Source organism: Homo sapiens, chromosome 2 (genome assembly GCF_000001405.40).
Source record: "Homo sapiens chromosome 2, GRCh38.p14 Primary Assembly".
Lineage (NCBI taxonomy): Eukaryota > Metazoa > Chordata > Mammalia > Primates > Hominidae > Homo > Homo sapiens.
Genome location: NC_000002.12, coordinates 219,925,815 through 219,946,144, shown reverse-complemented (window position 1 = coordinate 219,946,144; position 20,330 = coordinate 219,925,815). Strand labels below are relative to the sequence as shown.

At 39.8% G+C, this 20,330-nt stretch overlaps 1 long non-coding RNA gene across 1 annotated transcript in view, besides 2 other annotated features; it reads right to left on the bottom strand.

Annotated features, from left to right (window-relative positions):
* Positions 1-5,372: 5,372 nt before the first annotated feature.
* LOC105373890 (uncharacterized) overlaps positions 5,373-20,330 on the bottom strand; it is a 35,773-nt gene continuing 20,815 nt past the window's right edge. Inside the window, exon 3 of the long non-coding RNA XR_923927.3 lies at positions 5,373-5,465. This is a non-coding gene — a long non-coding RNA (uncharacterized LOC105373890). The remainder of the gene's footprint in view (positions 5,466-20,330) is intronic.
* Positions 13,266-13,966: an enhancer, noted in NCBI's record as "H3K27ac-H3K4me1 hESC enhancer chr2:220796900-220797600 (GRCh37/hg19 assembly coordinates)". NCBI's record gives its function as "activates a minimal SCP1, AML or CMV promoter by ChIP-STARR-seq in primed H9 embryonic stem cells {active_cell/tissue: H9 hESC(primed)}" and the evidence as "EXISTENCE:reporter gene assay evidence [ECO:0000049][PMID:30033119]".
* Positions 13,967-14,668: an enhancer, noted in NCBI's record as "H3K27ac-H3K4me1 hESC enhancer chr2:220796198-220796899 (GRCh37/hg19 assembly coordinates)". NCBI's record gives its function as "activates a minimal SCP1, AML or CMV promoter by ChIP-STARR-seq in primed H9 embryonic stem cells {active_cell/tissue: H9 hESC(primed)}" and the evidence as "EXISTENCE:reporter gene assay evidence [ECO:0000049][PMID:30033119]".

The window sequence follows — 20,330 nt, the reverse complement described above, 5'->3', positions numbered from 1 at the left end:
GACTTTCCACTCATTCGAAAAAAAAAAAAGGCATGAAGACCTTCTATTGAAGAAGTCTGGTCTGGGATATTCTTTTTTTTTTTCCTTTTCTTCTTTTTCTAGAGAAGGGCTTCACTCTGCCACTCAGCCTGGAGTGCAGTGGCACGATCATAGAACTCCTGAGCTGAGATATTCTGAAATGTACAAAGTGGTACCAGAGACATTTGAGATGAGTTTCCCTCACCAGCAGTATTTCCCAACTGAGAGCACAGTGGTTGGGCAGAAAGATGTTCTCAGAGAAGCAGTATAGGGTCGTAATTAAAGAGAACAGGCTCTGCAGTGAAACCTTGGTTTGAACCTTGTATCTTCCATTTCCCAGTTTAGAGATCTTAGGCAACTTAGCAACCTCCCTGAGCCTCTAGTTTCCCCATCTATAAAAGACAAAGAATAGCAGCTACCTCACCAGGCTAGTGTGAAGATTAAATGAGATAATGTAAGTATCTAGCACTATGCCTGGCACATAGTAACTCAAGTTAACTGTCATCTTTTTATATTTTGGTTGTATTAACTCTGCCTCATTTCAGTGGAGGATGTTTCTTCATCTTCATTCCAGGAGAGAAAAAAGGATGAGATGGGGGTCAAATTTGGGGCAGAAAATTCTAACACTGGTGAATTCCAAGGCCAGGAAAATCTAAAGGAATGACTCTAAGTCTGGGCACGAACAGAGAATGCAGCCAATTATACCTACTTTTCAGTACTTCAAGTATATATTTATAGCATATGTTTAGGTGTTTATGCTGTATATATAATTAGCCATTTTTCTTCAGCATATCCAGTAATTATTTTATCAAATGCACATCTGTTTTAATTAGGCATGTACACACTTTACTCTACTGTAAAATGTCAAATGCACTGTAAAATAGCTCAGAGTACATTAACACATAAAAACAAAAATTCATGTGACATATCACAAACAGCTGCAAGAAGCTCATAGACCCAACCAGCTGCTACTCGACAACTTCTAGCCAACGGCTGTTCTGTCAGGTCCTTTGGAGATTACTCCCATGCTGGAGCTGCAATTTCTGTTTTCAGTTCTCTTGCTTTGACATGATTGTCAGAAATGATGTGTGGTGACACATGTGTAACTTCGCTGATACCACGCATGCCAACCCATCTTCCATTTGCCAAGCCAGAGAATCTTAGTGCAGATAATAAGACCAAAAACCTCAAACCCAGGAGGGCTTCAGCTGCCAACTGGTACAACTCCCTTATTATACAGATGGGGACACTGAGAACCAGATGGAGGAACTGAGCTGGTGAATGAAGTAGGATCACCCTGTGTCATTCAATGCCCGATCCAGTGTTCCTTCTACCCCACTGGTTTCTAATCGTGACTGTGTCAAAATCATCAAGGGTACTTATATAAAATGCTGATTCCCAGAGCTCACCTTGACCAAGAATCTCATGCAGAAGATCTGAGGTAGAGCCAAGGAATAGATATTCTAACAAAGGTTGCAGTAATCCCAAAGCAGCCAGTTCAGGGTCCTGCATTGAGGGATTGCAGTGGCCACATCTCACTGTGTTTCTCCTGACATTTCTTCATACTCTGTTTCTGAGGTTCTCTCAATTACTAATTGGCAGTCACTGACAGGACTTTAATGGCCTATGACTGTTGACTTGCAGAAATATTGGAATTGACTAGCCCGGAAGGTCACAAAATCTTTTCTGAAGGGAATATTTAGTGGTAGATTATCAATGTTACCCCTTAGCTAAGCCATTTCTAATGGCATTGCACTCTGGCAAATGCTGTGTGAAGAAGCACATAGTTCCCATGTTCAGTTACTTTCCACAGAGAACTCACCAGAAATCCCTCAGCACTGCTGCTAAGCTATAATCTCTGACAGGTTTTCTGACTTGTTGATCAGCAATAGACCAGCCAATAAGTAACAAGTCAGAATAAAGAAAAATATCACCTGATTATCTAAATAAATACAGATTTGGCAGTTATGACACTCATAATTTTATATTTTTTAAAAAACTGCTCAGTAAACTTTGAGTAGAAGAAAAACCATGTAGTTGTATAAAGGGCATCTAGAAAATATAAACACAAACCTATAGCTAGCATCATATGTAATGGTAGAAGAGTAAATACTTTCTTCCTAAGATGGAAACAAATATGTCTGCTTTCATCAGTTCTATCAAACATTTAATACCTGGAGGTCTTAACCCAAGCAATAAAAACAGAAAATATGAGGATAAATATTAGAAAGAAATAGGTAGAACTACCTTTATTTGCAGAAAACATGATTGTCTATGTAGAAAATTCTAAGGAATCTACCAAAATTAAAACCTACTAGAACTAATAAGTGAATTTAACAGGGTTGTTCTACATAAAGTCAACGTTTAAAAAACTCAACTGTATTTCTACATACTTGCAGCAAGTATTTGAAAAATTGAAAATTTTTGAATAACATAATATCATCAAAAACATAAAATACTTCAGAATAAGTTTAACAAAAGATATGTAAGACCACTACACTGGAGACCATAAACATTGCAGGGAAAAATTAAAGAAGACTTAAATGGAGAAAGATACTATGTTCATGCATTGGAAAACTCAATATTGCTAAGACACCAGCTCTCTAAAATTGATCTATAGCTTTAATGCAATCCCAACCAAAATCCCAGATGAGTTTTTTTTTTTTTTTTTTTTTTTGCACACAACCTGTTTTCAAGACTTACTATAAAGCCACAATAATTAAGACAGTACGATATTGGTATAAGAATAAACAAAAAGGGAGGTAACACTCTTTTCAAATGCTCTTGGAATATTCTCTAGGATTGATCCTATGTTAGGCCACAAGTCTTAACAAATTTAAGATGAAAATCACATCAAGTGCGTTTTCCAACACAATGATATAAAACCAGGGGGAAAAAATGAGAAAAATTGGAAATTTCACAAATACATGGAAATTAAACAACAAACTCCTGAACAATAAATAACTCAGAGATCAAAAGGGAAATTAAAAATACATATATCCTGAGACAAACAAAATGTAAACAAAACATACTGAGATTTACAAAATGCAGCAAAAGCTATTCTAAGATGGAAATTTATAGGTATGAATGCCTACATTAAGAACAAAGAGATCTCAGATAAACAACCTAACTACAAACCTCAAGGAACCAGAAAAAGAACAAACTTCAGCCCAAAGTTAGCAGTAAGAAGGACATAATAAAAATCAGAGCAGAAATAAATAGTGATTTGAAAAAACAACAAAAAACATCAATGAAACTAAGAGCTGCTATTTTGAAAAGATAAACAAAATTGACATTTAGCTAGAATAACTAAAGTGAGAAGATTCAAATAAAATAAAAAAGAGGAAACATAATTAATACCACAGAAATACAAAAGACCATAAGAAACAACTATGAACAATTATTTACCAGCAAACTACATAACCTAGAAGTAATAGATAAATTTCTAGAAATACAATCTACCAAGATTGAATCTCGAGAAAGTAGAAAATCTGAACAGACCAATAACAAGGAAGGGAATTGAATCAGTAGTCAAAAACGTCTCAACAAAGAAAAGTGCAGGAGTTGATGGTTTCACTGGTGAATTCTACCAAACATTTAAAGAAGTCATGCCAATGCTTCTCAAATTCTGCCCAAAAATTAAAGAGGAGGAAATGTGTCCATATGCATTTTATGAGTGTAGTATTACCTGCATACCAAAGCCAGGTAGCCACATTACAAGAAAAGAAAATTATAGGGCCACTATCCATGATAAAGATAGATGTAAATAATCCTTTAAAAATACTAGCAAACCAAATTCAACAGCACATTAAAAGGATCACACACAATGATGAAGTGGGATTTATCCCTAGGACAGAAGAATGGTTCAATGTACACGAAGCAATAAATGTGATACTTCATGTTAACAGAATGAAGAATAAAAATCGTATGATTATCTCAATCAATGTGGAAAAAGAATTTGAAAAGTCAAAGTTCTTTCATAATAAAAACTCTCAACAAACTAGTTATAAAAAGAATGTGCCTCTGTGTATATCTATGTAACAAAAATGCACGTTCTGCACATGTAACCCAGAACTTAAAGTATAATAAAGAAATATGGTAGCATATGATGAAAAATTAATATGTAACTAGAAAATATAATTTTGAAGATAACATTTAAAATGGCAATTACAAAAATATAAACCACCTAAAACTAATCTAAAAAGTATATACCCTTTGGAGAAAATTACAAACTGTATTGAAAGACATTAAAAAAGAACTAAATTTTAAAAAATGTGCCTCGACACAATAAAGGCCATATATGAAAAGCCCACAGCTAACGTCATACTCAATGGTAAAATGCTGAAAGTTTTTTCTGTAAGATCAGGAATAAGACAAGGATGCCCATACTCACCTTTTTTATTCAGTATAGTAATGTCCTAGCAAAAACGATTAAGCAAGAAAAAGAAATAAAAGGCATGTAAGTTGGAAAGGAAGAAGTAAAATTGTCTGTTTGCAGATGATATAACCTTATGTCTAGAAATCCCTGAAGACTCCACCAAAAATCTCTCAGAATAAACAAATTTAATAAAATTTCACGGTACAAAAATCAACATACAAAAATTATTTGTGTATCTATATACTAACACTAACAAATGATCTGAAAAAGAAATTAAGAAAACAATGCCATTTACAATAGCATCAAAAAGAAAATCAAATACTTAGGAATAAATTTAACATAGGAGGTGAAGATCTATGTGCTGCAAGGGGAAGAAACTAGGAACCATAAAGGATAAATTGATACACTGGATTGCATCCAAATTAGAACCTTCTGATCATTAAAAGATTCTTTCAAGAAAATAAATGGGCAAGGCACAGACTGGGAGAAAATATGCTCAACACATATATCTGACAAAAAAATTTGTATGCAGAATAATGAATTCCTACAACTACATAATAAAAAAGATACAACCCAAAACTTAAGCATTCCAAAAAGAAAACCATAAAACTGGTCAATTAGCACATGAAATCACGTTCAACTCCATTAATCAACAAGAAAATGCACATTAAAAATCACAATGACATATTATTTCACATCCATGCAAATAGCTGAAATTAAAAACACTAACACCACCAAAAGTAGGTGAGAAAGTATAGCATCTGGAATGTTCATCCACTGTTGGTAGGAGCATAACATGGCACAGCCATTTTTGAAAGCTATTTAACAGTTTCTTATGAAGTTAAACATACATCTACCTATGGCCCATCAATTTAATCCCTAGATATTTCCCCATCTTCATCCATTTTGCACTGGTATAACAGAACACCTGGAACTAGGTAATTTACAAATAACAGAAATAGACTACTCACAGTTCTGAAGGCTAGGAAGTCCAAGAACAAGGCACTGGCAGGTTCGGTCGTCTGGTGAGGGCTGCATCCACAACAGTAGAGGAACATGGTGTCCTCACCTAGGAGAAAGAGGAAGGGCAAGCAAACCAAATGCTGCATGAAGCCTCTTCGATAAGGACCTTAATCCCATTCATGATAAAGGAAGCTTCATGGCCTAATTACCTTTTAAAGGCCCCACCTGTTAACACTATCACATTGGCAACACCTGAATTTTAGTGGGAACATATTTAAACCATAGCATTCTGCCCCTGGCCCTCCAAAATTCATGTCATTCTCACAGGCAAATTACATGCATTTTATCCCAATAGCCCCCCAAAAGTTTTAGCTTGTGCCAGAATCAACTCAAACGTCTAAAGTTTAGCATCTCATCTAGATATCATCTAAATCAGATGTGGGTGAGATTCAAAGGTGTGTTTCATCCTGAGGCAAATTGCCCTCCAGCTGCAAACTTGTGAAATCAAATAAATTACGTGCTTCCAAAATACAATGGTGGAACAGGCACAGGACAGACATCTCTGTTCCAAAAGGGAGAAATGGGCAAGAAGAAAGGGGTAATCAGTATCAAATTAAGTCCAAAACCCAACAAGCCAAACAAAATTAAATCTTACAGTTTGAGAATAATCTTTGACTCCAAGTCCCACCTTCCAGACACACTGGGGTGGAGGTTGGGTCCCCAAGATTCCAGGGGACCCTGCCCCCTGGCTTTGCTGGGAGCAGCTCATGCCTCACCTCTTACGGGCTGTAGTACAGTTCCTGCAGATCTCTCTGGCTGGTGTTACACACCAGTGGCTCTGCATGTCTGGGATCTCAGGAGTGGCCCCATTCCCACAACTCCACTAGGGATTGCCCTAATAAATACTCTCTATGGTGGCACCAGCCCCTTGGCTATACTGGGTATTGCCCTAGTGAGGACTCTATAGTGACTCTGCCCCTGCACCAGGTTTTTGCATAGGTCCTAAAGCTCTATGAGGCATCCTTTGAAATGTAAGTGGGGGAAGCCATACCTCCACAGTTCTTGCACTCTGTGTACCTGCAGAATTAGCACCATAGGGACACCACCAAGGCTCATTGCTTGTGCCCTCTGAAGTGGCTTGAGCTGCGTCTTGGTGTGCCTGAGCCACAGCTGGGGCAGCCACAGAGCATTGCACTGGAATGCAGGGAGCAGAGACATAAGGTGGCCAAGCAACAAGATCCAAGGTTCCACGGGTGCCCTGTACTCCTCTCTTGAAACCATTATGCCCTCAAGGCCCTGGCACTCTGAGCCTGTGATGGGCAGGACAGCCTCGAAGTTCTCTGAAAAGCTTTGGGGTCATTGTCCTGATGAAGAGTATCTGGCTTCCTTCTATCCATACTAATCCCCTTATCAAATGGTCACCTGGTCATACCACTGGTTTTCTCTCCTAAACATGCCTTTTTTACTCTTTACATGGCCAGGCTGAGAATTTTTCAAATTTTGTGTTCTACTTCCCTTTTGATTATCAATTCTGCCTTTAAGTCATTTCTGTTTTCTCACATCTTGCTGTAAGTAGTTAATAGAAGCTATGCAGCATCCTGAACACTTTGCTGCTTAGAGATTTCTTCTGCCAAATATCCTAGTTCACTGCTTATATCCAAATATCCTAGTTCATTGCTTTTTTAAAAGTCCTAGGATTTGGACATACTTCAGCCAAGTTCTCTGCCATCATAACAAGGGTGGCCTTTCCTCCAGTTTCCAATAACTTGTTCCTCACTTCCATCTGAGGCTTCATCAGGATAGTCGTTACTGCCCATGTTTCTATGAGCATTCTGGTCACAACCATTTAGGTGATCACTAAGAAGACAGAGCCTTCACCTCTCTTCAAGCCCTCACTAGAATTGCCGTTAATGCTCTGTTCACAACCGTACAGGCTTTTTCCAGCATTCACTTGAAAACAGTCTCAGCCTCTACCCACTACCCAGTTCCAAAGCCACTTTCATAATTTTAGGTTTTTGTTGTAGCAACACCCCCACTTATTTGGTACTGATTTCTGTCCTCATTCATTTTGTTGCCGCTACAACAGAATATCTGAGCCTGGTTAATTTATAAAGAATAGAAATTTCTTTCTTGCAGTGTTGGAGGCTGAGAAGTCTAAGATCAAAGCACCAGCAGGTGCAGCTGTCTGGCAAGGGCGGCATCCTGCAGAAGGAGGAATGCTGTGTCCTCACCTGGCAGAAGGTGAAAGGGCAAGTGAGCCAAAGACTGCGTGAAGCTTCTTCTATTTAATCCCATGCAACAGGGACGAGACCTTGTGATCTAATAACCTCTGTAAAGCCCTATCTCTTAATACTATCACATTGGCAACACCTAAAGTTTGGAGAGAATACATTCAAACCACAACATTCCTCAAAATAAATAAAGACAAATTCCCTCCCCCCCCCCAAAAAAAGGGTACAAGAATGTTCACAGCAGCTTTATTCATATTCTTCAGAAAACAGTGCAAATGGTTATCAACAAAACAATAGAAAAATAAATTATAATATATTAATACAATGGAATACTACTCAGCAATAAAAAGTAGCCACTGAAATATGCAAAGACATAATGAATCTCACTGACATGCCGAGTGAAAGAAGCGAAGCTGGATACAAAAGAATGCACACTATAGGATTCCATTTATGTACAGTTGTAGAGTGCGTGAAACCAAATTATGGGATTGAAGTCAGGATAATGATCACCTCTAGAGGATGACAGAATTGACTGGGAAGGAGTTTTCTGGGGTGATAGAAATGTTCTATACCTTAATAGGGGTATAAGTTACATGGATGTTTATATTTAAAAAATTCATCAAACTGTACAACTAAGATCTATGGTTTTCACAGCAAATAAATTAAACCTCAAATTTCTTTTTATTATTATTATTATTATTATTACTATTATTATTTTTTTTTAATTATACTTTAAGTTTTAGGGTACATGTGCACATTGTGCAGGTTAGTTACATGTGTATACATGTGCCATGCTGGTGCGCTGCACCCACTAACTCGTCATCTAGCATTAGGTATATCTCCCAATGCTAACCCTCCCCCCTCCCCCCTCCCCACAACAGTCCCCAGAGTGTGATATTCCCCTTCCTGTGTCCATGTGATCTCATTGTTCAATTCCCACCTATGAGCGAGAATATGCGGTGTTTGGTTTTTTGTTCTTGCGATAGTTTACTGAGAATCATGGTTTCCAATTTCATCCATGTCCCTACAAAGGACATGAACTCATCATTTTTTATGGCTGCATAGTATTCCATGGTGTATATGTGCCACATTTTCTTAATCCAGTCTATCATTGTTGGACATTTGGGTTGGTTCCAAGTCTTTGCTATTGTGAATAATGCCGCAATAAACATACGTGTGCATGTGTCTTTATAGCAGCATGATTTATAGTCATTTGGGTATATACCCAGTAATGGGATGGCTGGGTCAAATGGTATTTCTAGTTCTAGATCCCTGAGGAATTGCCACACTGACTTCCACAATGGTTGAACTAGTTTACAGTCCCACCAACAGTGTAAAAGTGTTCCTATTTCTCCACATCCTCTCCAGCACCTGTTGTTTCCTGACTTTTTAATGATTGCCATTCTAACTGGTGTGAGATGATATCTCATAGTGGTTTTGATTTGCATTTCTCTGATGGCCAGTGATGATGAGCATTTTTTCATGTGTTTTTTGGCTGCATAAATGTCTTCTTTTGAGAAGTGTCTGTTCATGTCCCTCACCCACTTTTTGATGGGGTTGTTTGTTTTTTTCTTGTAAATTTGTTTGAGTTCATTGTAGATTCTGGATATTAGCCCTTTGTCAGATGAGTAGGTTGCGAAAATTTTCTCCCATGTTGTAGGTTGCCTGTTCACTCTGATGGTAGTTTCTTTTGCTGTGCAGAAGCTCTTTAGTTTAATTAGATTCCATTTGTCAATTTTGGCTTTGGTTGCCATTGCTTTTGGTGTTTTGGACATGAAGTCCTTGCCCACGCCTATGTCCTGAATGGTAATGCCTAGGTTTTCTTCTAGAGTTTTTATGGTTTTAGGTCTAACGTTTAAATCTTTAATCCATCTTGAATTGATTTTTGTATAAGGTGTAAGGAAGGGATCCAGTTTCAGCTTTCTACATATGGCTAGCCAGTTTTCCCAGCACCAGTTCTTAAGTAGGGAATCCTTTCCCCATTGCTTGTTTTTCTCAGGTTTGTCAAAGATCAGATAGTTGTAGGTATGCGGCGTTATTTCTGAGGGCTCTGTTCTGTTCCATTGGTCTATATCTCTGTTTTGGTACCAGTACCATGCTGTTTTGGTTACTGTAGCCTTGTAGTATAGTTTGAAGTCAGGTAGTGTGATGCCTCCAGCTTTGTTCTTTTGGCTTAGGATTGACTTGGCGATGCGGGCTCTTTTTTGGTTCCATATGAACTTTAAAGTAGTTTTTTCCAATTCTGTGAAGAAAGTCATTGGTAGCTTGATGGGGATGGCATTGAATCTGTAAATTACCTTGGGCAGTATGGCCATTTTCACGATATTGATTCTTCCTACCCATGAGCATGGAATGTTCTTCCATTTGTTTGTATCCTCTTTTATTTCCTTGAGCAGTGGTTTGTAGTTCTCCTTGAAGAGGTCCTTCACATCCCTTGTAAGTTGGATTCCTAGGTATTTTATTCTCTTTGAAGCAATTGTGAATGGGAGTTCACTCATGATTTGGCTCTCTGTTTGTCTGTTGTTGGTGTATGGGAATGCTTGTGATTTTTGTACATTGATTTTGTATCCTGAGACTTTGCTGAACTTGCATATCAGCTTGAGGAGATTTGGGGCTGAGATGATGGGGTTTTCTAGATAAACAATCATGTCATCTGCAAACAGGGACAATTTGACTTTCTCTTTTCCTAATTCAATACCCTTTATTTCCTTCTCCTGCCTGATTGCCCTGGCAAGAACTTCCAACACTATGTTGAATAGGAGCGGTGAGAGAGGGCATCCCTGTCTTGTGCCAGTTTTCAAAGGGAATGCTTCCAGTTTTTGCCCATTCAGTATGATATTGGCTATGGGTTTGTCATAGATAGCTCTTATTACTTTGAAATACGTCCCATCAATACCTAATTTATTGAGAGTTTTTAGCATGAAGGGTTGTTGAATTTTGTCAAAGGCTTTTTCTGCATCTATTGAGATAATCATGTGGTTTTTGTCTTTGGCTCTGTTTATATGCTGGATTACATTTATTGATTTGCGTATATTGAACCAGCCTTGCATCCCAGGGATGAAGCCCACTTGATCATGGTGGATAAGCTTTTTGATGTGCTGCTGGATTCGGTTTGCCAGTATTTTATTGAGGATTTTTGCATCAATGTTCATCAAGGATATTGGTCTAAAATTCTCTTTTTTGGTTGTGTCTCTGTCCGGCTTTGGTATCAGGATGATGCTGGCCTCATAAAATGAGTTAGGGAGGATTCCCTCTTTTTCTATTGATTGGAATAGTTTCAGAAGGAATGGTACCAGTTCCTCCTTGTACCTCTGGTAGAATTCGGCTGTGAATCCATCTGGTCCTGGACTCTTTTTGGTTGGTAAACTATTGATTATTGCCACAATTTCAGCTCCTGTTATTGGTCTATTCAGAGATTCAACTTCTTCCTGGTTTAGTCTTGGGAGAGTGTATGTGTCAAGGAATTTATCCATTTCTTCTAGATTTTCTAGTTTATTTGCGTAGAGGTGTTTGTAGTATTCTCTGATGGTAGTTTGTATTTCTGTGGGATCGGTGGTGCTATCCCCTTTATCATTTTTTATTGTGTCTATTTGATTCTTCTCTCTTTTTTTCTTTATTAGTCTTGCTAGTGGTCTATCAATTTTGTTGATCCTTTCAAAAAACCAGCTCCTGGATTCAGTGATTTTTTGAAGGGTTTTTTGTGTCTCTATTTCCTTCAGTTCTGCTCTGATCTTAGTTATTTCTTGCCTTCTGCTAGCTTTTGAATGTGTTTGCTCTTGCTTTTCTAGTTCTTTTAATTGTGATGTTAGGGTGTCAATTTTGGATCTTTCCTGCTTTCTCTTGTGGGCATTTAGTGCTATAAATTTCCCTCTACACACTGCTTTGAATGCGTCCCAGAGATTCTGGTATGCTGTGTCTTTGTTCTCGTTGGTTTCAAGGAACATCTTTATTTCTGCCTTCATTTCGTATGTACCCAGTAGTCATTCAGGAGCAGGTTGTTCAGTTTCCATGTAGTTGAGCGGCTTTGAGTGAGATTCTTAATCCTGAGTTCTAGTTTGATTGCACTGTGGTCTGAGAGATTGTTATAATTTCTGTTCTTTTACATTTGCTGAGGAGAGCTTTACTTCCAACTATGTGGTCAATTTTGGAATAGGTGTGGTGTGGTGCTGAAAAAAATGTATATTCTGTTGATTTGGGGTGGAGAGTTCTGTAATGTCTATTAGGTCCGCTTGGTGCAGAGCTGAGTTCAATTCCTGGGTATCCTTGTTGACTTTCTGTCTCGTTGATCTGTCTGATGTTGACAGTGGGGTGTTAAAGTCTCCCATTATTAATGTGTGGGAGTCTAAGTCTCTTTGTAGGTCACTCAGGACTTGCTTTATGAATCTGGGTGCTCCTGTATTGGGTGCACATATATTTAGGATAGTAAGCTCCTCTTGTTGAATTGATCCCTTTACCATTATGTAATGGCCTTCTTTGTCTCTTTTGATCTTTGTTGGTTTAAAGTCTGTTTTATCAGAGACTAGGATTGCAACCCCTGCCTTTTTTTGTTTTCCATTTGCTTGGTAGATCTTCCTCCATCCTTTTATTTTGAGCCTATGTGTGTCTCTGCACGTGAGATGGATTTCCTGAATACAGCACACTGATGGGTCTTGACTCTTTATCCAACTTGCCAGTCTGTGTCTTTTAATTGGAGAATTTAGTCCATTTACATTGAAAGTTAAATTGTTATGTGTGAATTTTATCCTGTCATTATGACGTTAGCTGGTGATTTTGCTCGTTAGTTGATGCAGTTTCTTCCTAGTCTCGATGGTCTTTACATTTTGGCATGATTTTGCAGCTGCTGGTACTGGTTGTTCCTTTCCATGTTTAGCGCTTCCTTCAGGAGCTCTTTTAGGGCAGGCCTGGTGGTGACAAAATCTCTCAGCATTTGCTTGTCTGTAAAGTATTTTATTTCTCCTTCACTTATGAAGCTTAGTTTGGCTGGATATGAAATTCTGGGTTGAAAATTCTTTTCTTTAAGAATGTTGAATATTGGCCCCCACTCTCTTCTGGCTTGTAGGGTTTCTGCCGAGAGATCCGCTGTTAGTCTGATGGGCTTCCCTTTGAGGGTAACCCGACCTTTCTCTCTGGCTGCCCTTAACATTTTTTCCTTCATTTCAACTTTGGTGAATCTGACAATTATGTGTCTTGGAGTTGCTCTTCTTGAGGAGTATCTTTGCGACGTTCTCTGTATTTCCTGAATCTGAACGTTGGCCTGCCTTGCTAGATTGGGGAAGCTCTCCTGGATAATATCCTGCAGAGTGTTTTCCAACTTGGTTCCATTCTCCGCATCACTTTCAGGTACACCAATCAGACATAGATTTGGTCTTTTCACATAGTCCCATATTTCTTGGAGGCTTTGCTCATTTCTTTTTATTCTTTTTTCTCTAAACTTCCCTTCTCGCTTCATTTCATTCATTTCATCTTCCATTGCTGATACCCTTTCTTCCAGTTGATCGCATCGGCTCCTGAGGCTTCTGCATTCTTCACGTAGTTCTCGAGCCTTGGTTTTCAGCTCCATCAGCTCCTTTAAGCACTTCTCTGTATTGGTTATTCTAGTTATACATTCTTCTAAATTTTTTTCAAAGTTTTCAACTTCTTTGCCTTTGGTTTGAATGTCCTCCCGTAGCTCAGAGTAATTTGATCGTCTGAAGCCTTCCTCTCTCAGCTCGTCAAAATCATTCTCCATCCAGCTTTGTTCTGTTGCTGGTGAGGAACTGCGTTCCTTTGGAGGAGGAGAGGCGCTCTGCGTTTTAGAGTTTCCAGTTTTTCTGTTCTGTTTTTTCCCCATCTTTGTGGTTTTATCTACTTTTGGTCTTTGATGATGGTGATGTACAGATGGGTTTTCGGTGTGGATGTCCTTTCTGTTTGTTAGTTTTCCTTCTAACAGACAGGACCCTCAGCTGCAGGTCTGTTGGAATACCCTGCCGTGTGAGGTGTCAGTGTGCCCCTGCTGGGGGGTGCCTCCCAGTTAGGCTGCTCGGGGGTCAGGGGTCAGGGACCCACTTGAGGAGGCAGTCTGCCCGTTCTCAGATCTCCAGCTGCGTGCTGGGAGAACCACTGCTCTCTTCAAAGCTGTCAGACAGGGACATTTAAGTGTGCAGAGGTTACTGCTGTCTTTTTGTTTGTCTGTGCCCTGCCCCCAGAGGTGGAGCCTACAGAGGCAGGCAGGCCTCCTTGAGCTGTGGTGGGCTCCACCCAGTTGGAGCTTCCCGGCTGCTTTGTTTACCTAAGCAAGCCTGGGCAATGGCGGGCGCCCCTCCCCCAGCCTCGCTGCCGCCTTGCAGTTTGATCTCAGACTGCTGTGCTAGCCATCAGCGAGACTCCGTGGGCGTAGGACCCTCGGAGCCAGGTGTGGGATATAGTCTCCTGGTGCGCCGTTTTTTAAGCCGGTCTGAAAAGCGCAATATTCAGGTGGGAGTGACCCGATTTTCCAGGTGCGTCCGTCACCCCTTTCTTTGACTTGGAAAGGGAACTCCCTGACCCCTTGCGCTTCCCAGGTGAGGCAATGCCTCGCCCTGCTTCGGCTCGCGCACGGTGCGCGCACCCACTGGCCTGCGCCCACTGTCTGGCACTCCCTAGTGAGATGAACCCGGTACCTCAGATGGAAATGCAGAAATCACCCGTCTTCTGCGTCGCTCACGCTGGGAGCTGTAGACCGGAGCTGTTCCTATTCGGCCATCTTGGCTCCTCCCCCAAACCTCAAATTTCAAAGAATAAATATCAAGCAACACAGATACCCATTTTACTGAAATAGTGCCGCCTCCTCTTCTCTGATTCATTTCTTAACTTCCTTACCAGTGTTCCTGTCGCCTATCAAATAATTGACTTGCACTCAAATCCTTGTCTCAGGTACTGCTTTTGGGAAATCCTTTGCTACTAAGAGATGGAGCTGAGATCTGAAAACAGCTTTTTCTAATTCATCACACTGCCTTTGGCAGTCATTTACAAATAAAGACTTTATTATATCATTATCAATCTATGACAGGTCAAGTAATCAGAAAACAAGAGAAAAAATGATGCTTTTGAATCTATAAGGTTACACTGGCATGTGTGTGGGTGGGTGGGTGAGTGGGTATGGGTGTGTTCTCCCTCACTTACGGAGAAACACCTGCTCTGCTTTTAAGTATTGTACTAAAAATCCTCAATGCATTCTAAAAATTAGACGTGATCAGGCCACATTCTCTGAATGCAACACAATAAAACTGGAAATTAATAACAAATGTGATATGTTTGCATATTTGTCCCTTCCAAATATCATGTTGAAATGCAATTCCCAGTGTTGGAGGTGGAGCCTGGTGGGAGGTGTTTGGGTCATGGGGACAGATCCTTCATGAATGGCTTGGTGCCCTCCCCGTGGTAATGAGTGAGTTCTCACTCTGAGTTCACACAAGAGCTGGTTGTTTAAAAGAGCCTGGCATCACTCTTGCTGCCTCTCTTGCCATGTGATATGCCTGTTCCCACCTCACCTTCTGCCATGAATGGAAGCTCCCTGAGCTTCCTGAGGCCTCACCAGCAGATTTCTGCAATATTGTATAATATTTTTGTTTTTAAATTTATTTTTCTTCATACACACATATATATATACACACACACATATTTATAGGATATGGTTAAAACTGTGCTTTCATATAATATATAACCACATATATTTGCTACTATTTTAATAGAAGGTAAGATAATAAAGTTTTCAACTCAAGAAACTAAAGAAATGGCAAAATGGAACTCAAGCAGGGGAAGAAGATAATAAAGATAAATAAATACATAAATGAATTAAAAATAGAAAAGCAAAGTTGATAAATGATACCAAGAATTGGTTCCTTGAAAATTCAGTAAAATAGATAAATCTCTGAATAAGCTAATCAATAAACATAAAAAGCAAAATCATAAGTAAATGCATTTAGAAATGAAAGATGATAGTGGAATACGGAGAAGATTTTTAAATTATAAGTAAAAAACGTACCCGGTATGTAAACATATTAGTAAATTTCAATGAAATGGATAACTTTTGGCAATGGCAGATGAGGGTGAAGAATAACAAATTGAATCAAGAAGAAGTTGTTTTATTTTTAATTACTTCAATAAAAAATCAAGTGATCCTCTAGGTAAGTTATAAATTTTCAAGTATCCATTGTTTTCAGACTTTTTGAAACCAGTTATGTGGTGTTCAATCCAAGATTCTTAACCGTGAAGGCCTTTTAAACTCCCTGATTTTGCCCACATGCTGTGGACACCAGCATGAAAGTGATTTTCTGTAACGTAATTGCACCAGGGAGAAAGCCCAAGTGATGCCACACGATTTAGAACAACAGAGGTTTCCAATCCATAACCTTGGCATCTTCCTAAATCTTTTTATAATTGTCCTTGTCTTGCCTTGGAATACATATTCGGCTCCTCATGCATGGGGAGGCAGGCAGCATGTTTAATCATAGTATAACTGGTCAGAACTGCTTTGTAAATGTAAGTGTGAATCCCATTGTCTCTTCTTCTTCTAATCAATCATCCAAATCTCCACAGGCCTTATTAGCAGGGAGTCTAATGTCTCCCTTTTAAGACTCCTCTCACCCTTTGATAATCCACACCGGCTGTGACCTTTTCTCCGGGGCCGGTGGTTACACCTCTTTCTAGGAACATCAGCCATTCCCTCAGTACTCAGCTCCTCTGAGGGAGCCTCCTAACTGGGCCCCCCAAATCTAGCTCTAAGTGCTTTGGTTTCCATCCAGCTGTAAACCACGTGTAGTGACCACATCCAGCTGCCACATGAGCTTAGAGAGCTCAGTGAAGGAGGAACCAGGATCTACCAACACAGAGTCCGGGGGCTCCTTTCCTCCCCTAGGATCTATTGCCCAGACTTTCCCTTCTGAGCCCTAAAAATACAAAGAGCCTAACTAGATAACATCTCCCCCAAACAAAGGGGCTACTCTTCTAAACTGGTCCCCTGGCACCTTCTTCCTAACTAACGCTCTGAGACTTTCCAGGTGATTCCAGAGCCCAGGTGGTCACCTGCTCTTCTGAGGGCCACCTTCATGGGTTTTTTGGCATAGGAAAAGATGCAACCCGCAAGTGTACCTATGCCCCATTAAAAGTCACTCCACATCCCTATCCAGTCACACCTGCCATCTTATCCCCATGTATAGGTTAGTAATTTGAAGCTCAAAGACTTTTGCCTAAGGTCACTTGGCTAAGCTTCCTTTCCTAGATTTCTCTCTTCCTCACTAAGCCCTTGTCCTCTTATTTCCCTCCATCTCTTCTTTTCCCCAGTCAACTTCCTCTTCTCTATCTTTGCCTTCATCAACAAATTTATTGAGAACAAATACTAATCCAATATTGCAGCAGGACACAGATGGTAAAGGAATAAGACATTTATCCACGATCTCACAAAGTTTGTAATCTAGTTATAAAAACAAGATTAGCAAATGACATGAAGCAGCCTTAAATAATTGGATACTAATTTTATTTCTATGTCTCATTCTTTCTCCACCACAAACTCCACTCTTTCCCTTGTCTCTTGTGTTAGAAAAGGTTGACTCTTTTTTTATATTTCATTTTATATATATATATATATAGTGTGTGTGTGTGTGTGTGTGTGTAATCACAAAGGCTAAAATATACACTGCAGTTTATAGAACAATAATAAAATGACATCTATGTACTTTCCATTATACTTAAGCAGCAAAAACATTACCAGTCAATGATTGCCTCTTAGTAGGTAAGATAATTTATTTCTGTGGGTGTTTCAGAATAGACAGGATTTGGAAGACTGAGCATTGTCCCAATTAGAAGAGGTATACACACACAGACACACACACAAAAGAAAAGAAACAGTGCAGTCAAATCTATGTATAGCCCTTCAGTTCAGAGACAGGGTATGGAGCTGATGGCCAAGAGTAACAGGGCCTTGATCATAATATACTGTGAGAGTTCAAAGAATTTGAGGGCTAATAAAGAGAAAAATAACCCCCAGTGAGTTTTACTGGGAGACATTTGGACAAGGTTGCGTTAGAGGAGAAGCCCTTCATATCATGGGACTGTCCAGAAGGAACTACTGCTCTGAAGAGGAAGAGAACCAGGGAACTCTTGGGAGAGAGGGGGACCAGAAGGGGGAGCAAAGAGGAGGGTTGCGTCCAGGAGATGTTCCTCAGCAGGATGGTGGAGTGTGTCTAGGTCAGAGAACGTGGAAGGATGGGAGCTGCTTGGATCCTGTAAGCATAAGGCCCTGCCTTTCAAAGGCCAGCAGGTGGGAGGTGAGGTTTTGCAGGATATGCAAAGCAAGCAGGCCCTAAGTGGCTAAAAATCTGCTTGTTTGGGCTATTTTTAAAATAATTGGATGTGTGAAAAACTGAGTTTGGCACCAATAGGCTTTTGATCTAAGAAGTCTCAGCCGGAAGTGAAGAAATAAACAACCCAGGGGCCAATATCCAGAGACCATCTTTGGCCCATTTATGTAACACCTGCTGAGTATGTGCCCATCACCCCTCTTGGAAGAGGCCCCTATCACGTGCCCTTGGTTGCTGCCTCCATACTAACCCCTCTCCCACCCACAGAGCCCAGTCTATCAGCCACCAGATGATGCTGGGGCGAGAGGGGAACTCTTATTGAAGGGGGTAACAGCAGCAGACCTGCCCAACAGCTCCAAGGATGCCCTGTGTATCCAGGGCAGGACAGGACTCTCTCCCTGTCTCAGACCATCAGGGTTTGCTGACCATAGGTAAACTAATAGTCCTTCCAGGTATCTCTAAGAATCAAAAATAGACTCTTCTATTCACACACACACACACACACACACACACACACACACACACCTGTCTACAGACTCTTTTTGCAAACTATAGACAAATAAAGAGGCTAAACATCCAAAAACTAACAGTTAACAATAAGATTCTCCTCATATCATTCAAGGTTGAAATGTAGAAATAATGGTGAATTTTTCCAAAACTTTCTTTTGAAATAGGGCATTTATAAGCTGATGCTATCCGATGCTAATTGGTAAGGAAAAAAATTCAGCCATAAAGCATTTAATAGAATGCTTGGTAATCAGCATATTTCTTAAAAGAATGTTTCTTTTGACAGAATCAGATACAAGGAAATTTTTAAAATGAGAAGTATCAGTTCAGCCAGTAGCCCCGATGAGACAAGATTATTCCTCTAATGTACTTACTAGGAGTTAGCTGTCTAATGGAACTTCTGTGGCAACCCTTCGAAGAAAATTGCATGGTTTTACAGGGGATACTCTCAAATAGCTTATCCTGATAACGGCTTAAAAAGAGCCAACACCAGAGAAAGGCTAGACCTCCAAGGATGAGACCATCTCCCTGCAGAAAGTGAGCTAGAGAAGTGAGACAATTATCTGAATAATTTCATCTCACCTTTCCTCCCTCATCTTATCTCAGGAAAAACTTCAGAGAGCCCAGACAAAATATGTATTTTGTTTGTTTGGTTTTCCTTCTGTTTTTCACATTTGCTTAATTATCCAGGTAAATACATTATTTGCCACTTTACCCAGAGAAGGGCACAGGATCAAATAACATCATTACATCTTTACCAACTACAGAAGAAAAAAAAATCTTCTGTAGCCCTACACCCAGGTAATGTGACACATTTTTGTCAGTTTTCTTTTTCCCAGTGGGTGAAATTTAACCAATACTTTTGTTAGCGAAAGTCTAGTCGTTCCCCAGAGGAAAATTACAGGAGTGAAGATATAACCTCTGCCATACCACATGTGAGCTTAAAAGGATAGATTTCTAGGTCTAGCCACCGTTTTGAAATTAGGTTTTAAAAGGAATAGGTTTGTTGCTATGGATTTAAGGGGCAGAAGGGCTAACATTCACTTACTGTTCTCAAAAATAACAGTGAGTGAGAATATTTCCATCCTATTACAGCTCTGAAGGAGGATAATAATAATAAAAAAAAATCCCTGTTGGACAAAAGTGAAGCAATGATGGTGGCCAATGCTAACAACATTAACTTTGCATTATTGAGATTCACGCACTCGCTTCATTACTGAAGCATCCTCCAGATTAAAACAGACATAACTGGTAGCTTGCAACTAATCGTAAAGGGCTGCCTGGCCATCACTCTGTCAACTTCATCTCCATGACTATTTCCCCTGACAGTTTCTTCCAGGATATTTCAACCAACTGTAAAAGCTGCCTTCTCCTTCTTTTCTCCCTTTAAAGAAAAAGGCTGCCAGAGAAGTACGGTGCATTAGGGTAGACTTTATCAAACAGCTTAATCCATCTCTGCCTGCCTAGCATGGCCTAGGGAGTCCTAATTAATCAATAAGCATCTATTGAGCATTCTAATGTGCATAATAGTCCTGACTCAGGTGCTTCGGAGCCTTCAAGGATCTAGTTAGGAAAATGGAGCACATTGTCCCATAGAGAGTTTCCTGACAGTATGAGTTAGTGCATGGGGAACAGGAAGTCACATTTGCTGAGGGTTCTTAGCTACAAACACTGAGCTAGATGCCTACTATACATGATTATTTCATTTACTCCGTAGTAGTCTGCTAGGACTGCCATAACAAAGTCCTACAGACTGCATGGCTTTAAACAACATAAATTTATTTCTTCATAGTTGTAGAGGCCAAAAGTCCAAGATGAAGCTTTTGGTAGATCTGGTTTTATCCCGAGGCCTGTCTCCTTGGCTTGCATATGGCCACCTTCTCACTCTTCCCTTTCCTCTGTTTAGCACACATATCT